The sequence below is a fragment of the Homo sapiens genome, chromosome 5 (genome assembly GCF_000001405.40).
Source record: "Homo sapiens chromosome 5, GRCh38.p14 Primary Assembly".
NCBI classification, from domain to species: Eukaryota; Metazoa; Chordata; class Mammalia; order Primates; family Hominidae; genus Homo; species Homo sapiens.
This window is the reverse complement of record NC_000005.10, coordinates 157695742-157715126: the sequence shown is the minus strand read 5'-3', so window position 1 is coordinate 157715126 and position 19385 is coordinate 157695742. Positions and strand designations below refer to the sequence as shown.

Sequence of the window (19385 nt, the reverse complement as noted above, 5' to 3'; positions counted from 1 at the left end):
ATAACCAAGTCACAAAAAGACAAATGCTGTGTGATTGCACTCATATGAGGTGCCTACAGTAGTCAAATTCATAGAGGCAGAAAGTACAATGGTGGTTGCCAAGGGGTTGGGGAGAAGGGAATAGGGAGGTGTTACTTGGTGGGTACAGAGTTTCTATTTTATAAGGTGAAAAGGGTTCTGCAGATTGGTTCATAACAATGTGAATGTAGTTAACACTACTGGATTGTATACTTAAAATGGTTAAGATGGTAAATTTTATATCCTGTGTATCTTAGCATAATTAAAAATAAATTAAAAATCTTCACACAACAGGTATTTATGACCTAACTGGACCTCTATTTTTATTTTATAAATTTTCTGTTACTTAGAAGATCACTTGCTCACTGCAGGCTGACACAAAGAAAAATAATTTCCTTTGGCATAGAAGTCATTTTTCATTTGACTTGATGCTGACTCATTTGGTTTGTGCTAAAAGCTGCATTATGTAAATGAAATTTACATAATGGATGGTGAAGAGGGGAAAGAAGAAGGAATAATTTGTGTCTAAAATCTCCTTTCTCCTCTGAACCACTCTAATCTAATTTCTGGCTTGGAGTAATGTATGTGATTCCAGGAATGACTGCCTAGGTCTGTCTTGGTTTTGAGGCAGATATAAGCATTAGGACATACCAGGATATACAAGGGTATAAAATTTAGAACTATTATTCCAGAATAAGTTTATGATTACAGGGAGTTATAATTATTATATTTGTCCTGCATTTTTTAGGCATTGCTTACATAGGTCAGGGTGAATGGATTTTATTTCTAAAGAGTCATTGATTGTGTGTCCTTAAAAGGACACGTTCAAGTTAACTACTCATTCTTTCTCTACTTAACAGGGGTTCCAGAAGTCAGAGGATGTGGTTGATGGAGGGCTTGGAAAAAGATGTTAGGAAAAGAGAAAGAGGAAATTAAATGTATGTTGCCTAGTCCCACTTGACCTTGTTCCATTTAATTCCACAAATGTTCTCATTCATTTAACAAGTATTTCTTGATTTATTTCTATGTACCATGCACCAAGGCTATCACGCAACAGCAAACAAGACAGCCATGCTGCCTGCCTGGTGGGGTACACGGTCAGTTGGGAAAGACAGACCTGATGACAATTGTGTGAAGTGTTGTGAATCAGGCTGGAGGCCTGGCGCTGGGGGCAGGTGTGGCTGGGGATAGTCCATGAAGTTTCCCCTGAGGAAGCAGTACTTAAATTGAGACCCAATAATGAGATCATAAGACAGCATGCTTACAGGTTTCTGGAATATTTGAATTGTAATGTTGGGTGAATGTTTTGCCACAACATTTTGCTTGTATAAGACTTTGGAAAGGAACCCTGAGTAGTGTGAATTTCTATATCATGGGTCAGCCAATGAATAAACACTGATTGAGCACCTTCAAAGTGTGAGGGCACTGGATGATGTGTGAGGTGTCTGGGCCAACTGAGAATCATTTTGATATTTCAGATATCCAGGACTGATTAAATGGAAGAGATAGACAAAAGACAAAAAAAAAAAAAAAGAACTTTTGTGTCCATAGGTACTGACTAGGAGGATATCATTGATAATAATTATACCTTCTGGACATAAGAAACTTATTCCAAACCATATTCTCATACGTTATTCATTTTTTTCCTCTCTCAATGAGTCTGTAGGGCAGGTAAGACAACAGTTTTCTCCATTTTATAAGAAAGGAAACAAATGTTGTGGGGATTAGTTAAGTGATTTGCCCAATGTCCCACAACCTTCCAAACTAGGATTAGAACCTAGGCCTTTTGACACCAAATCCAAGGTCCCCTCCACTCTGCCACCTTGCCTTTCCATGCCTGTCAGGAATGAAGTAGATAGCTGTTGTCTTTGCATGCCCAGCATTTCATTTTTCTGACTTTGGACCAGGGAAGCCCAACTGTCCTTTCCCCACCTTCAGGCCATGTAGTCCAGGTGGAGATAATCCCTCCTCACCTGTTGCTCCAGGGTGAGCACACGGCCAAGACACTGTCATGTCCTAGTGTGAACTGGACAAAGATCCCTCTCTCCTGTCACACACAGTCCTGCACCAGGATAAAGGCTTGGTGAATGCAGCCTTCGCTGGATTTCAGCCCCTGCTTGTCCTTTTTTACAATGAACAACCTGCACAAATATTTGTGGCCTTCCTAATGACTGAGACCTAGCCAGTAAGGTTCTGAGATGTGGATCTGACCCAAGCCAGGTCAATGAGACAGTCTGGCCCTTTGCTAGGATGACGAGGAAAGACAGGCTCTCTTCCCATTAGAATTGTTAACACTGGTGGCCATGTTGCCTTCAAAAGGGAAGAGACCACCCAAGATTTCAGTTTACAGAAAGGAAAGAAAATATGACAGAGGGAGAAAAAAACTGTGATAACATTGAGCACCACACTTGGAGCCAGTGCTACCCCTGGACTCATAAGTTCCTGGAGAGGGGGACTTTGCTTAATATTTTTCAAATCTGAATCCCTTATGCCTAGAACAGTGCCTGACACGAAGGAAGCAATCAATAAATATCTGTTGAATAATTGAGCTGATAAATTCCTTTTTTGTTTTTCTTTTTTGTATATGTAACTGGTTTGTTGGAAGTCTCAATTCATTGGGGAGTATAAATAAAAAGTAACTTTATTTTTCCCAGTAACTGTTCTCTCATGTTCTCCTTTCTTACTGGTTAGCAATTTCCTTGGAGCATGGCTAGGCACGGTGGCTCATGCCTGTAATCCCAACACTTTGGGAGGTTGAGGTGGACAAATTGCTTGAACCCAGGAGTTTGAGACTAGCCTGCACAATGTGGCGAGATCCTCTCTCTCTCCCCACCTCCAAAAAAAAAGAAAACAAACAAACAAAAAAACCCAAAAACAAAAACCCAGAATCTTGAACAGATCCCACAGCTTCCCAGGTAGAAAAATGTTCTAGTATTTGTGTTCAAGATTGGTTAGCAGGTGCGGTGGCTCATGCCTGTAATCTCAGCACTTTGGGAGGCAGAGGCAGGTGGATCACTTGAGGGAGGCCAAGAGTTCAAGACCAGCCTGGCCAACATGATGAAACACTGTCTCCACTGAAAATACAAAAGTTAGCTGGGTGTGGTGGCACATGCCTCTAATCCCAACTACTCGGGAGGCTGAGGCAGAGAATCGCTTGAACCTGGGAGGCGGAGGCTGCAGTGAGCCGAGATTGCACCACTGCACTGCAGCCTGGGCGACAGAGGGAAACTCTGTCCCCCCCAGCAAAAAAAAGAGAGAAAAGAAAAGAATCCGGCTGTGGTTTGAAACATAAACAAAGGTGAAGAAAACCTGGAGGTGGCTAGGCTACTGAGAATTTATTTTGTTATTTCAGATGCAATACCGATTAAAAGGAAGAGGTGGATAAAGAAGAAAAAAAGACAGAAGAAAAGAAAGGAAAAAGAAAGAGAAAGAAAGAAAGAGAAAGAAAAGAATAGAATAGAATTTGGTGTCCATAAAATGTTTTGAGGCCCTATATCACAAAGAACTCTAATACTTTTTAGAAAAGGCAAGGTATTAAGACATCTTGATATAATATAAAGATATTATTATTGATACAGAGACAGAATCATATTCACTGAAGTGTAAATTTCACTACATAGCTATGAGTTATAGGGCTGCATATAGAGTGGCCCATAATCATTTGGTCCTGAAAGGGTCATACGTTGGTAGAGAGATTGATGCAGGCAGATATTTCAGTTTAATTTTTTCCAGTGACTGGGCTGGCTTATCGAATAAAAGAATTTGAATTCTTCATGCCCATCTAAAAATGGAATCTGGAATGTGAATTGACTTTCTGATTTGGCTTATACTATTAGTCATTCCCATGCATTAAAAATTAACGGTAGAAGAAAATCTAATAAATAATTCATGATTTTTTTTTTGCTTGGGAAGAATTATTTCCTAATCTGAGTTCAATGATAGCTTTCATTTTAGCAATAGAAAAAAAAGTGCATGACAAATACTACTACTCATGCTTGATTTTTATTACTCATTCTGGTTACTTGAGTAACAAAAGAGGTTCCTTAAACACTCATACACAGAATTTCTCCTGTAGATATTTCAGGCATAGTTTTCTTCTGTTGCATAGTAGTCTGTGAAGAAACGTTAAATTAGGAAGAGAATTCAAAGAATTTCAAAGACTGAGCAACATCACATCACTGACATATTTACACTATTTAAGGAAACCTTTTTCTCCTTCCTTTTTTCAACCTGCTTTCTTAGGTTGAAAAAGAAATCTTTTTTATCCATGATATTTTGTTTTTGAAGATTACTGCCTGTGTACACATTTTTAGGCAAAATTTCAGCAACTCCTGGCCTATTGGATTTGACTCATTATGGATATAATCCAAAAGTTACCTTCGTTTTTAAGTTACTATATTTGTAAAGAACAATTCTGTAAATATAGAATCTCAGGATGAGTAAATGTAGTATAAATCAGAACCTAGATAGAGTAACGTTATGTATATATCTATATAAGCATAACCCACATGTCTTCACTCTCTAACTATATTTAGGCTGTATTTTACATGTCTGAAGTTGAACATCATCTTTTCCATCTACACATTCAGTTTTGGTCAGATTTATTTTAATTTTCCCGGTCAACCAGGTTTGACAATTTAGAATAATTACTGGCTGTTCTTCATTCTCCAAAAATAATGGTCAACATATTGAGTGTTTATTCAGTTCCAAATTATATGTTAAGCCTTTACATAAAATATAACCTCACAAAAATTATTTTAAGTATGCACTGTTATTCACATTTTATAACTGGGGAAACAGTCTTATAGGGATTAAGTGACTTACCCAAGGTCACATAGTGGGGGAGCCAGGATAGGAAGCCAGGAATGCAATGCAAGAGCTTATGTGCTTAACTCATTTTTCTGTTCTACCTCTCAATAACACCATCATATTGATCTATAGATTCATTTATTCATTCATCTGTTAATTGATTCATTCATTCCACAAACGCTTTTTAAAAAAATTTTACTTTCCATTGCAACAAAATTCACATTCCACACAAACGCTTCTTAAGCAATCATTTTCAAATCAGAGACTGTAGACAGTGCTAGGAATTGATTAAGACAAGGTCCTTGCTCTAACAATTGAGGTAGCAAATTACATTAACGAAAAATTAAAGCATGATATAAGTGTTTTAGGAATGTTATTTCTGTTCCTTTTTCCGTAAATTTGGATGTTTTTACCTGCAAATAACTGAAAACCTCACTAATGAAATCTTAAACACTATGGAAATTTAATATCATATAGATAAATTTAGTTTGTTAATTTCAGGACCTCTTCAGGGGCTCAGTGATGTCATTAAAAATTGGAACACTTTTAGTTCTTCTGTTTCACTATCCATAGCATATCAGAGAGATCTGTCCTCATGATCACAAAATGGCTGCTGTGGTAGCAACCAGCAAGTTCTCACATTACAGCATTTAAAACAGAAAGGAAAGAGATAAACAGAAAAGAGTGCTCTTTTTATATCTGCTCTCTCTTTTATTAGGGAAATTTTTTTTTTCACCAGAAGCATCTAACAGACTGCTCCTTATGTCTCAGTGGACAAAACTTGAGTCACATGCCCACCTCCATAGCAATTTCTGACAAAAGGGAACAGTACTTGGCACAATGCCTTCTAAACAAAATCAGAGTTCTGTTAGCAATGAAAAGTGTGGAAGGATGGCTAGCAGGTAGGCAACAATGGCCCTACCCCTCTTCCAATATGAGTGCCAAAACAGAGGTATATAGAAAGTGCTGTGAAAGCATAAAGAAATGTTATACTCTGCCTAGGATAACCAGAGATAGCATTTTAGAGAATGTGACATTTAAGCTGGGGCCTTAAAGGATAGGTAAGAGTTTATCAGGTAAAGGACAAATATCTCAGAAATCAGGGCTGAGTGGACCTTAAAAAGTGTTTAGTACAAATTCCGTTCAACACTTGCATTTCCTTCATAGTCATTTCCAAATCTGACATATTCCTTTCTATGGCCTCCAGCCAACTCAGAGCCATTTAATGCCTAGTCTCCTTGCTTTGGCCAACAGTGATTAGACATGCTTAGGAGATCCAAGATAATATAAATACAAGAACCACATTTTTGCTAGCTGATTAAATGTTCTTTTGATCAAAAGAGATAGCAAAAGACATAATAGAAACACTGTATAGGGCCTCAAATATCTTTTCCTTTTCCAGATACCTTTCTCCCTCTTCTCATCCTTCTCTTTTATTAACTATGTTATTCTCTTATTTTAAGGAATGCCAACACTGAAAAACTATAACTTACTTTGATTTTTCTGGTAGCACTGTAATAAAACTGTAGGACACCATGTGATAGAGACAAGAGCTCCACTTGCTCTTTATTCAGTATTAAAACTGTATTCATTATTGTTTTTTGTGTAACAAATTATCCCAAAAGTTGGTAGCTTAAAACAAAAATAGGCCAGGCACGGTGGCTCACACCTATAATCCCAGCACTTTGGGAGGCTGAAGGGGGTGGATTACCTGAGGTCAGGAGTTCAAGACCAGCCTGGCCAACATGGTGAAACACTGTCTCTACCAAAAATACAAAAATTAGCCAGGTGTGGTGGCACGTGCTTGTAGTCCCAGCTACTCTGGAGACTGAGGCAGGAGAATTGCTTGAACCTGGGAGGCGGAGGTTGCAGTGAGCTGAGATTGTGCCATTGCACTCCAGCTTGGGCAACAGAGTGAGACTCCATCTCAAAAAAACAAAAAATAAAAATAAAAACAAAAATAAACATTTATTGGCTGGGCACGGTAGGTAGCTCATACCTGCAATCACAGCACTTTGGGAGGCCAAGGCGGGTGGATCACCTGAGGTCAGGAGTTCAAGACCAGCCTGGCCAACATGGTGAAACCTTGTCTCTACTAGAAATACAAAAATTAGCCAGGTGTGGTGGTGCAAGCCTATAATCCCACCTACTTGGGAGGCTGAGGCAGGAGAATCACTTGAACCCAGGAGGCAGAGGTTGCAGTGAGCTGAGATTGCGCCACTGCACACCAGCCTGGGTGACAGAGTGTGAGTCTGACTCCCAATAAAATAAAATAAAATAAAATAGCCTTGGCATGGTGGCTCACACCTGTAATCCCAGCACTTTGGGAGTCCAAAGTGGGCGGATCATCTGAGATCAGGAGTTCGAGACCAGTCTGGCCAACATGGTGAAACTCTGTCTCCAATAAAAATATAAAAATTAGCATGTGTGGTGGTGGGTGCCTGTAATCGCAGCTACTTGGGAGGCTGAGGCAGGAGAATCACTTGAACCTGGTTCACTGCAACCAAGATCACGCCATTGCACTCCAGCCTGGGCAACACAGCACTACTCTGTCTCAAAAAATAAATAAAAAAGAATGACAATAAAATAAAATAAACATTTATCATCTCATACAGTTTCTGTAATTCAGGAATTCAGGAGTAGCTTAGCTAGGTGGTTTTGGCTCAGGGTCTCTCATAAGGTTGTAATTAAGATGTCCATTGGGGCTTCCATGACCTGCAGGTATGACTGGGGCTAGAGTATCTGCGTCCAATATGATCACTCTGATGGCTGTTGGCAGAGGCTGCGGTCCTCTCCATGTGACCTCTTTATAGGGTACCTGAGGTATTCTAAACAGGCAGGTTAACGTAGCAGAGAAAACATGGATTGTTAGAGGCTGATAGGATAACTAGATCGCTATATAAAATGAACTTGGATCCCAATTTTGTATCATATGTAAAGGAAAACAGCATATAGATTAAAGATCTAAATATAAAAGGTAAAATTATAGAAGTAATAGAAAAAATATAAAAGAATGTCTTTGAGAACTTGGCGTGGGAAAGGATTTCTTAAACAAGATCCTAAAAGCACAAAATATAAGGTGAAAAAGTGATGAATTTGACCACATTAAGAATTTCTGTACAACAGAGGATATCAGAAACACGTTAACAGATGGGTCACAGACAAGAAGATATTTGCAATGTTTGAATATCTATAATAAATAGACTCTTGCAAATCAACATGTAAAAAGCAGGAAACACAAAAATTAAATTGTAAGTGATTTGAATGTAAGTAAACATCACAGATAGGGAAAGCTAAAAGACTAAGTTTGTTTTATTTTATCATTTTTGTTTTGAGACAGGGTCTCACTGTTACTCAGGCTGTAGTGCATTGGCTTGATTTTGGCTCACTGCAACTTCCGCTTCCTGGGCTCAAGGGATCCTCCCACCTCAGCCTCCCGAGTAGCTGGGACTACAGGCTCGCCACCATGCCCGGCTGTTTTTCTTTTATTTATTTATTTAGTTATTTATTTATTTTTGGTATTTGTTGTATAGCTGGAATTTCACCATCTTGTCCAGCCTGGTCTCGAACTCCGACTTCAAGGAATCCACCCACCATGGCCTCTCAAAGTGCTGGGATTACAGGCATGGGCAGCAGCACCCAGCCTAAAAAACTAAGTTTATGAAGAGGTGCTCAACCTATCCAATCATCGGAGAAGTGCAAATTATTTAAAAAAAAACACCAGACAATTCTATGTACCAATAAGATTGGCAAAACTTACTGAGTTAAACCAAGTGCTGGTATGGGAGTGGGAAAAAGCAAATCCTCTTGTGCTGCTATTAGGAGTCTAAAGAGGAACAGCCATGTAGGAGTGAATCTGTCCTTTAGTGAAAGTGTATGTGCATGCCCATGACACAGCAATCCCACTCATAGGTAGATCTCCTGAGAAACTGTCAAACAAGTTTATAGGGCACATGTCCTTGACAATGCTGCTTCTAGTAAGAGCTCACTGGAGGCACCCTAGGAATCCATTATTAGAGGAATGGAGGAGTAAAAATTGAGCTTCATAAAGACAGAAAGCACTACTTGGGAGGATGAAGCAGAAGAATCGCTTGAGCCCAGGAGGCGGAGGTTGCAGTGAGCTGAGATTATGCCACTGCACTCCAGCCTGTGTGACAGAGTGAGCATCTGTATCAAAAAAATAAAAATAAAAAAAGAAAGCAGATTAGTGATTTCTAGGGACGCAGGTGGGGTGAGGAGTAAAGAGGAATGAGGACTACTAATGGATTTGAGGTTTCCTCTTGGGATCGTGAAATGCTCTGGAATCAGATAGTGGTGATCGTTTGACAATGCTGTGAACATACAAAAAACCACTAACTTGTACAATTAAAAACAAAGCTAGGCCTGCTGTGGTGGCTTATGTGTGTAATCCCAGCACTTTGGGAGGCCGAGGCGGGTGGATCACCTGAGGTCAAGAGTTTGAGACCAGCCTGGCCAACATGGCAAAACCCAGTCTCTACTAAAAATATAAAAAATTAGGTGGGCCTGGTAGAGGGCTCCTATAATCCCAGCTACTCAGGAGGCTGAGGCGGGAGAACGCTTGAACCCGGGAGGCAGAGGTTGCAGTGAGCCGAGATCGCACCACTGTACTCCAGCCTGGGCCACAGAGTGAGACTCTATCTCAAAAAACAAAAAAATAAATAAAATAAATAAATAAACTAAAAAAAGTAATGAACATACCCACTGTAGAAAAATACAGATAAGAAAAAAAAATATGTGGAAAAGATAAGAAACAGATTGTATACATCTAAGAGGACATGGGTAAATTAAAACACAAATACATACATCCACCAAATACTGTACTCACTCCGTGATACATATGTAACTGACACATATTAAGCATATTAAAGCGGGTGCCTGGAGCATGAGGGTGAGGGAGAGTAGAATTAGAATAGGAACAGAAATGGTAAATGGAGGGAAAAATCATAAAATAATAAAACAGGAATGGGGATTGTAAAGCACAACAACGGTTCATCCAAAGATATCCATATACTAATGCTAGGAAGGTGTGAATACATTACCTTACTAGCAAAAGGGATTCCACAGCTGGGATTAAGATAAGGATTTTAAGATAGGAGGGCTATTGTGGATTATCTTGGTGGGTCTAATACAGTCACAATGGCCTTAAAAGGTGGAAAATGGAAATAGATGGGCCAAAGCAGGAAATGCAGGGATGGAAACAGGGGTCAGAGTGATGAAATTGTTGGCTTTGAAGAAGCAAAAGTTCCATGAGCCACGCAGCCTCTAGAAACTAAAAGTCAAGGAACAGATTTTTCCCTCGAGCCTCTAGAGGGTAAGTTGTCTTATGGATACCTTGGTTTTAGATCCGTAAGGACCATTTCGAACGTCTCACCTTCAGAACTGTAAGATAATACATTTGTGGTATTCTAAGCCACTACATTTTGGTAATTTGCCACAACAACAATAAGAAACTAGTACAAGAACTTGTGCAGACCAAAGAAAATGCTCTGTTGAAACTGTTGAAAATGATTAAATCAATTCTCTGCACCAGAAGTCCAAAAAGAGGGGAAAAAAAAAGTCCCTCTACCCTCGAAAATTAGCCTTAGAGAGAATTAGCCCTTCCCCACCACACACACACACAAATTAGAATTGATTAATACCTCGTTTGTTCTAAGAATTAGCACGTAGTGGCAATTATAACCCCAAATTTCTTAAATATAAGCTTAATTAAATTGATTTCATAATGTTTTAAGGATACAAAATATCCCTTTTCCACCAATTACTCTGAATTGGTTCCTATTTGTATTAATCTGCATGGGCTGCTATACTGAAATACTGCAGGCGGGGTGGTTTAAACAACAGAAATTAATTTTTTCACTGAAGGTCTGGCAGGATTGGTTTCTAAAGAGGGCTCCCTTCCTGGTTTTTGGATGTCTGCCTTCTCACAGTGTCTTCACATGGCCTTTCCTTGGTGCATATTGGGGTTGCAGGGAGGAGAGCTGGAGTTTCATTTTATAAAGACGGGAATCCTATCAGGGCCCTATCCTTATGATCTCATTTTAACCTTAATTATTTCCTTAGAGGTCTCATCTCCAAATACAGCCACACTGGGGGTTAGGGCTTCAGCATATGAATTTTGGGAGGAAACATTCAGTCCATAACGCTGATTTAATAAGATCACATTCAGAGCCTTCTTAGGAGATGTTGTTGTGACTTTGGACAGTTTTCATATGAATTTAAGATTTCTTTGTAAAAACGTAAGTTGTATAAGAAAAGAAGCCTCATTTGTCTTAGTCACTGTTGTATTCTTAGAGCCTAATACAAGGCTTGACACATTCTAGGGGTTCAGTAAACATTAACTGAATGAATAAATGAATAAATCAGTGAATGGAAACTCTCTTCCCGGCCTTAGTAATTGAGATTGTGCAGTCTTAAGAAAGAACTAATCCCAGAATTCTTTGCTGCACATTTCTATTAAGAAAGAGAAAGAAGAAAACAGAATGTATTAGTTTCCTAGAGCTTCTGTAACAAAGTACCGGAAACTGGGTAGCTTAAAATGACAGAAATTCACTCTCCCAGAGTTCTGGAGACCAGCAGTTTGAAATCAAGGTGTAGACAGGTTGGCTCTTTCTGGAGGCTCTGAGGAAAAGAGGCTTCAATGCCTCTTTCCTAACTTCTGGTGGCTCCTGGCAATTCTTAGCATTCTTTGGCTCATAGTAGATACATCACTCCAATCTCTGCTTCTGTCTTTACATGATCTTTTCTGCTGTATCCTCTCTTCTTCTTATAAGGACACCAATCATTGGCTTTAGTGTCCACTCAAATCCAGTATGATCCCATCTGGATTCTTAAATAATTACATCTCCAGAGACCGTATTTCAAATAAGGTCACATTCTAATCTTCTGGGTATGAATTTCTGGGGATGTTACTCAACCCACTACAAGGAATCAGATGAAAATGATTATTGCACATAGGTTTCCATCTTAACTACAGAAACAAATTAATAATAACTCCTGCTATAACTTATGTAAATCACCAAGGAAGCCTTTACTGAAATATATACCTTATGTTATTTAACAATTATTATTGATGCCCTTCTATGAAGGATGAGAGAAGAGAGCAAAAATCTGGTCGGGCGTGGTGGCTTACACCTGTAATCCCAGCACTTTGGGAGGCCGAGGCGAGCAGATCATGAGGTCAGGAGTATGAGACCAGCCTGGCCAATATGGTGAAACATGGTCTCTACTAAAAATACAAAAATTATCCAGACGTGGTGGCATGCGCCTGTAATTCCAGCTACTTGGGAGGCTGAGGCAGGAGAATCGCTGGTACATGGTAGGTGAAGGCTGCAGTGAGCAGAGATCATGCCACTGCACTCCAGCCTGGGCCACAGAGCAAGATTCTGTCTCAAATAAATAAATAAATATTAGAAAGGAAGTCTCTGATAAATTTAAAAAAATTAATTAAGTTTCCATTTTAAGAAACCACAAAAAGAAGAGACAAAGTAGAATGAAGAACTAAAGACCATAGCATAAATCAACAAAAAGAAAACTGCAAAACTATAGAGAAAAGTAGTGAAACTTACAGTTGATTCCTTGAAAAGATCTATGAAATTGATAACATTTTAGCCAAATGACCAAGAAAAAAAGAGAGAAGACAGAAATTACCAAAACTGGGAATAAAAGAGAAAGCATTCTGAACCCTATGGAAATTAAACGGCTTATAAAGGAATATTTTGAACAACCTTATGCCAACAATTTGTCACCTTAGATGAAAGGGGCAAATTCATAAACAGAAATGATCAAAGTAGACTCAAAAAGAAATTATAAAATTTACATAGATATATATCAGCAAAAAATGTTAAAATATTTACTAAATTATTTTAAAATTTTCTACAAAGAAAAATCTAGGCCTGGATGGTTTTACTTGGAATGGTATCAATATCTAAATAATTAGTAATACCAATCTAATGCAAATCTTTTCAAAAATAGAATAGAAGGGGACACCTTACAGTTCATTTTACCCTGATACTGGAAGCCACAGACAGAGATATCACAAGGAAACTATAGACCAATACTGCCCATGAATGTAAATGCTAAAATTCTTTAAATAACAGCAGGTTAGATCCAGTAATGTACACACTATTACCAAGTGCCGTCAGTTTATTACAGGAAGACACTTTAGCTTAACATCTGAATATCAATTAGTGTAATACACATATTAATAGAATAAAGCAGTGGTCAGCAAACTATAGTCCCTAGGCCAAATTTGGCATGACTTTTCTTTTTGCAAATACAATTTTACTGGAACAAAGCCAAGCCCCTTCATTTACAAATTGTTTATGATTGCTTTCTGCTACAAAAGCAGAGTTGATTGGTTACAACAGAGCTCATATGGCTCAAACCAAAAATATTTACTATATAGCCTTTTCTGGAAAATGTTGCTGACCCTTAAAAGAAAAAGCCATATAATCGTCTCAATAGACACAGACAAAGCATTTGATAAAACTGAACTACTATTCACCATAGAATTCTCAATAAACTAGGAATAGAAGGAAACTTTCTTACTTTGATAAAAGGCAGCTACATAAACCTGTGTTTAACAACATGCTTAAAGGTGAATGACTGAATGCTTTCTTCCTGAGATTGGGTACAAGGCAAAAGGATGTACACTCTCACCACTTCTATTTAACCTTGGACTGAAGGTTCCAGCCAGTGCAATAAGGTAAGAAAATAAAAATACAAAAATAAACATACAACTAACTAAAAAGGAAATTTAGAAAACAATTACATTCACGATAGTATAAAGAGAATAAAGCATTCAGAAATAAAGTTAATGAAAGAAGTACAGGACAGTACACTGAAAATTACAAAACATTGTCAAAGGAAATTAAGACCTAAATAAATCAAGGTATGTTCCATGTTTGTGAATAGGAAAGTTCAGTATCTTCAAGGTGTCAGTTTTCCCAAAATTGATCCATAGATTCAATGCAATTCCTATCTAAGTGTCATTAGGGTTTGCTTTTCTAAAGAAAGAAAAATTGGTAAGAGGATCCTAAAATTTATTGTTTGAATCCAAAGGACCAAGAATAGCCAATATGATTTTGTAAAACAACAAAGTTCAACGACTTACACGATTTCAAAATTTCAAAATTTACCATAAAGCTACAGTAATCAAGACTGTGGTATTGACATAAAGATAGGTATATAGCTGGGCATGGTGGCTCATGCTTTTAATTCACCCTGGGCAACACACTAAGACCCCATCTGGAAGAAAAGGAAAAAAATATGATATTGTAAACCAAAAATAAAATTCTAAGTGGATCTCTCCTCAGGGGTCAGGGCATTTTATTTTATTTATTTTTTTGAGACAGGGTCTCACTCTGATGCCCAGGCTGGAGTGCAATGGCACAACTTCAGCTCACTGAAACCACTGCTTCCTGGACTCAAGTGATTCTCCAGCCTCAGCCTCCTGAATAGTTAGGATTACACACACAGGCCACCACACCTGGCTAATTTTTTTTTTTTTTCCTGAGACGGAGTCTCACTCTGTCATCCAGGCTGGAGTGCAGTGGCACTATCTTGGCTCACTACAACCTCCACCTCTTGGGCTCGAGCAACTCTCCTGCCTTAGTCTCCCAGGTAGCTGGGATAACAGGAGTGTGCCACCATACGCAGCTAATTTTCGTATTTTTAGTAGAGATGGGGTTTTGCCATGTTGGCCAGGCTGGTCTCGAACTCCTGACCTGGGGTGAATTGCCTACCTCAGCCTCCCAAAGGGTTGGGATTACAGACATGAGACACCGCACTCAGCCATGCAGAGATTTTCAAAGTACCAAAAAAATGGTTTTGCACCTCAGCCCAACACCTTCCTCAATGTTTTCTTTTTTCTTTTTCTGTTTTTTTTTTGCCCCCAGATGGAGTTTTGCCTCTTGTTGCCCAGGCTGGAGTGCAAAGATGCAATCCTAGCTCACTGCACCTCCGCCTCCTGGGTTCAAGCAATTCTGCCTCAGCCTCCCAAGTAGCTGGGATTACAGGCACATGCCACCACACCTGGCTAATTTTTGTACTTTTTTTTTTAGTAGAGGTGTGGTTTCATCATGTTGGTCAAGCTGGTCTCAAACTCTGGGCCTCAAGTGATCCACCTGCCTTGGCCTCCCAAAGTGCTGGGATTACAGGTGTGAGCCACCATGCCCTGCCCCTCAAGGTTCTCAAAGAGTCGGTGAAAGAGAAAATTTTCGTTGGGGAGGTGCTCAAGTGCTTTACAATTTCCACCTTTCTCCCTCACAAAGGGATGCTCCCCACTTCAATATAAGCTCAAGAGCCTGAACTATGTCCTCTGACATCTCTGAGGCCCAAAGTTCTATATCAAATACAAACCAGAAATACACGAAAGTTGAGACTAGCCAACTAACTGCCTGTCTGATAAAGAGGTGTCTACCTAGGGACAGCTTAACACTACCTGGATCTGTGAAGGCACAGTATGCACATTTCATAGAGAACTGGCCTGCTGTCTTTTTTTTTTTTTTTTTTTTTTTTGAGAAAGAATCTCGCTGTGTCACCTAGCCTGAAGTGCAGTGGCACAATCTTGGCTCACTGCAACCTCTGCCTCCCAAGTTCAAGTGATTCTCCTGCCTCAGCCTCCCAAGTATATGGGATTACAGGTGCCCACCATAAGGCCTGGCTAATTTTTGTATTTTTGGTAGAGACAGGGTTTCACAATGTTAGCCAGCCTGGTCTTGAACTCCTGACCTCAAGTGATCTGCCCTGTGCCCCCCAAGTGCTGGGATTACAGGCATAAGCCAAGGCACCCAGCCAGTTTTTGAAACGTAAGTTCTGTCTCCAGTTTCCCATTTTTACTAAAGACAAATCACGGTAAGACTGATTTGCTTTATTATGCTTGGTCTGATTATTTGTATAAAGTGCAGCAAAAATAATTATTTTTTACATAATCTCTTTTTAAATTGGCTTTGATGGAACTCTGTTCCATAGAAGGTATCTTAGATAAGACTTTTTTAGAGCTGAGCCCATGGGTTTGTACTCTCAAATACCTATGAGTTGAGTAAATTCCTCTCCTCTTGTGGTCCCAAGATAATTTGGGGATCCTGGACCTGTCAGAAAGTGACATTTTTGTACTTACCATAGGTCAGAAACACTGTACAGGGACTGCTGTAGACAAGGTCTGAGGCCAATTCCCCCAGGGGCTTTTATTGGCTTTACAAGTCAAGTTTGATTCCTTAAAGGAAAACACCCCATTCCAGTCAAATCGTTGGTAAAATAATCAGTGTTTCCAATTTGTCCCGTTGCAAAAGAAAACAGATTCTTATTGCACTTATGCAAATAACTATATTGCCGTAATGTAAGAATACTCACAAATAATTTCCAAATTCTGGAGAAATTAGGTAGAGAGAAACAAATATGCCTCAAATGTTATTCACAGCAATATACTTTACTCAATTGCTACAAGCTGCAAGCAGCTCAAAAGAAAAGTTTCTTTGACTCTGAAAAACAAAACAAAGGATCAGCAGCATTTTAAGCAAAGTTAAAAAGATTAGTCCTCTATTGGTTCAGTCAATTCAGTTAACTCCTGTTCTGCTTGATATTCACGAACATTTCAGGTCTCCATGAGAGTTCTGAAATTGTTTTATTTTACTGTCAAAATTTTCAAAGTTATCAGAAACCTGCATTTAAGAACCCCTGTTAGAGTTCTATAGTTGATAACAAACCATCTTTTGAAGAGGATTAAAAGAAGACAACAATTGTGTGTGGATGATAAAAAGTCTTAGGACAGCCACTATTAAAGTCACAATCGATAAGGAAATTTGGTTCCTTCTGTGGCATATAATAATTTTATGTAACAATTATAATTATTCATAACATACACTAAGTCATATCAGAATTATGAGGTTTTTTATAATTGTGGAAGACACACCAATAACACATTTACACAAATACAGCCCAAAGAAATCCAAACACCATTTTACATTTGATAATGCTTCCTGAATGATTTTTGTATCAAATAAGCCAAATGTCACTGTTGCATTAGAGCATTACTGATGACAAACCCAATTCTTTATAAAACCTTATAGGCAAATGTATTCAATCTTAATCAGTTTGACAACTAAGTAAAATTTTCACAAACCTTTTATAACCCTTTACAAATTTTCGTTAAAGAGCAGATCATAAGCAGATTTTTGCTCTAAGAACATGGTGAAACCCCGTCTCTACTAAAAATACAAAAAAATTAGCTGGGCATGGTGGTGCGAGCCTGTAGTCCCAGCTACTTGGGAGGCTGAGGCAGAAGAATCGCTTGAACCCAGGAGGTTGCAGTGAGCCAAGATCGCACCACTGCACTCCAGCCTGGCGACAGAGCCAGATTCTGTCTCAAAAAAAAGAAAAACAAGCTACAACTACAACAACAACAAAAAACCCACAACCTGTTGTGCTTTTATTCCAATGTTTTATTTGCAGAAAAATTGAATACCCCTTTAACTTTAGCCAATATGTACACACACAGAATTTCTTACAATTAATTTTCCACAACTTTCCATAACTTGCTTAAAACTTCAGCTTTATTCTACCTAACTTAAAACAATCCTTTAACCCTTTAATCTAGGCAAGAAAATTTAGTCACATGACTTCTTATAATCTTTTACCAAAAAAACACATTTCACTTTCCCTACACACCTTACATGTAGAACTACTTCTTCAATAGTCTCAATTACATGTTACAATGATAACTTTCAGCAATTATGACTTTTGGTGAAAACCCTGGTTAGTAAGCAATTTTAACTATGTACTAGGTGTGGAGCCTAGGACCTCAACAGAAGTGAAGACAAGGTCTGACTTTTTCTAGCATTGCTAGGGGGTATGGCTAACACCACATATCCCTAGACCTTATCTGGAATTTAATGTCTTCAAGGTAGGTAAATTGAACAATTTTCAAAAGTCGAAGAAGCAGTTTATGACCTTAAAGCATTTAGCAAACCTAATATCTGGCCTGCATAATTTAGGACAAATGTTTACATTTTTAAAGGTATTTTTATTTTACTAATAATCTTTAAAACTGTATTTATTTCCCTAAGGTTACTTAAGTCACATGAACTAAATAAAGGGCATTACACTTTTTACTTTTCTCACAAAATATTTGATTTAAGCACTTAATTATTATAATTTTTTCTTTTTAGATGGAGTCTTGCTCTGTCACCCATGTTGGAGTGCAATGGCACAATCTGTGCTCACTGCAACCTCTGCCTCCTGGGTTCAAGCGATTCTCCTGCCTTAGCCTCCTGAGTAGCTGAGATTACAGTGTGTGCCACCACACCCGGCTAATTTTTTGTATTTTTAGTAGAGACAGGGTTTCACCATGTTGTCCAGGCTGGTCTCAAACTCCTGAACTCGTGATCCACCCACCTCATCCTCCCAAAGTGCTGGGATTACAGGTGTTGGCTACCATGTCTGGTGCACTTAATTATTTTTAAGCCAATTAATCAAAGCTCTTTCATATGTAAACATCACACACATAATACATATAAATACATAGACAAGTCTGGGTGCGGTGGCTCATGCCTGTAATCCCAGCACTTTGGGAGGCCGAGGCGGGTGGGTCACCTGAGGTCAGGAGTTTCAGACCAGCCTGGCCAATACAGTGAAATTCCACCTCTACTAAAAATACAAAAATGAGCTGGGCATGGTGGTAGGCGCCTGTAATCCCAGCTACTTGGGAGGCTGAGGCAGGAGAATCACTTGAACCCGGGAGGCAGAGATTGCAGTGAGCCAAGATTGCACCATTGCACTCCAGCCTGGGCAACAAGAGCGAAACTCCACCTCAAAAATAAAAAAATGTATAGACAGTTAGATGATAAACAACTCTTTCCCTAAGCCATGAATTGAGCCCTGAACCTGGGCCACCACTGTGAAAAGAGAAAGCACAGCCACATGGTTAGGTTACAAGGTCAAGCTCCCAAGGACATACAAGACAAGAGGGAAACCTCACCCAGTTTTTTTCAGGGACCTGCAGCAAAGTTCGTAACTGACCAGTTTGCTAGGCCATCTTGAACAGCAGGCTTATAGGTGTCCTAAGCCCATGTTCTATCCTAAGGTACCCCTGTTTATGACAGAACAATACAGAACAACACACAAAATGCACCAGATTGACTACAGCTTAAGACTAGCCTCACAAATCCTTTCTTCCATTACTTTGCAGGAAATAGTGATTTTTACCATTCCTACAACCAGTTTGCACAGAGAGAGAGAGAGAGAGAGAGGAAAGCATTGCTTGAGGCAAGGTGGGGAAGGTGAGGCACTCATGGAAGCCAGAGAAAGACCCACCCATTGCAGCAACTGAAAAGTTCAGGCGGCCTCTTCTCGGTACTGAAGGGATCTTTTCCAGCAGTCCCATCAGCTCTCAAGTGTCCCCTTTAGGGGAAGAAAAAGCTCCCTGTGTCCCACGATCTTGTACATGCCTAACCCTGTCACCTACAGCTGTCAGCAAAGAGTACAAGGCAGAGTATTTCAAAGAGAATAGCAGTTAACATCCCGTAGTGCCAAACCTGTTC

The 19385-nt window shown here is 39.1% G+C and overlaps 1 long non-coding RNA gene across 1 annotated transcript; it reads right to left on the bottom strand.

The window, feature by feature from the left end:
• Positions 1-4001: 4001 nt before the first annotated feature.
• LOC105377676 (uncharacterized) lies at positions 4002-18911 on the bottom strand. Its single transcript, XR_941129.3, has 3 exons — positions 18824-18911; positions 16201-16328; positions 4002-4130 (listed from the first exon to the last, which is right to left on the bottom strand). It is a non-coding gene; the product is annotated as an uncharacterized LOC105377676 (long non-coding RNA).
• Positions 18912-19385: the final 474 nt, after the last annotated feature.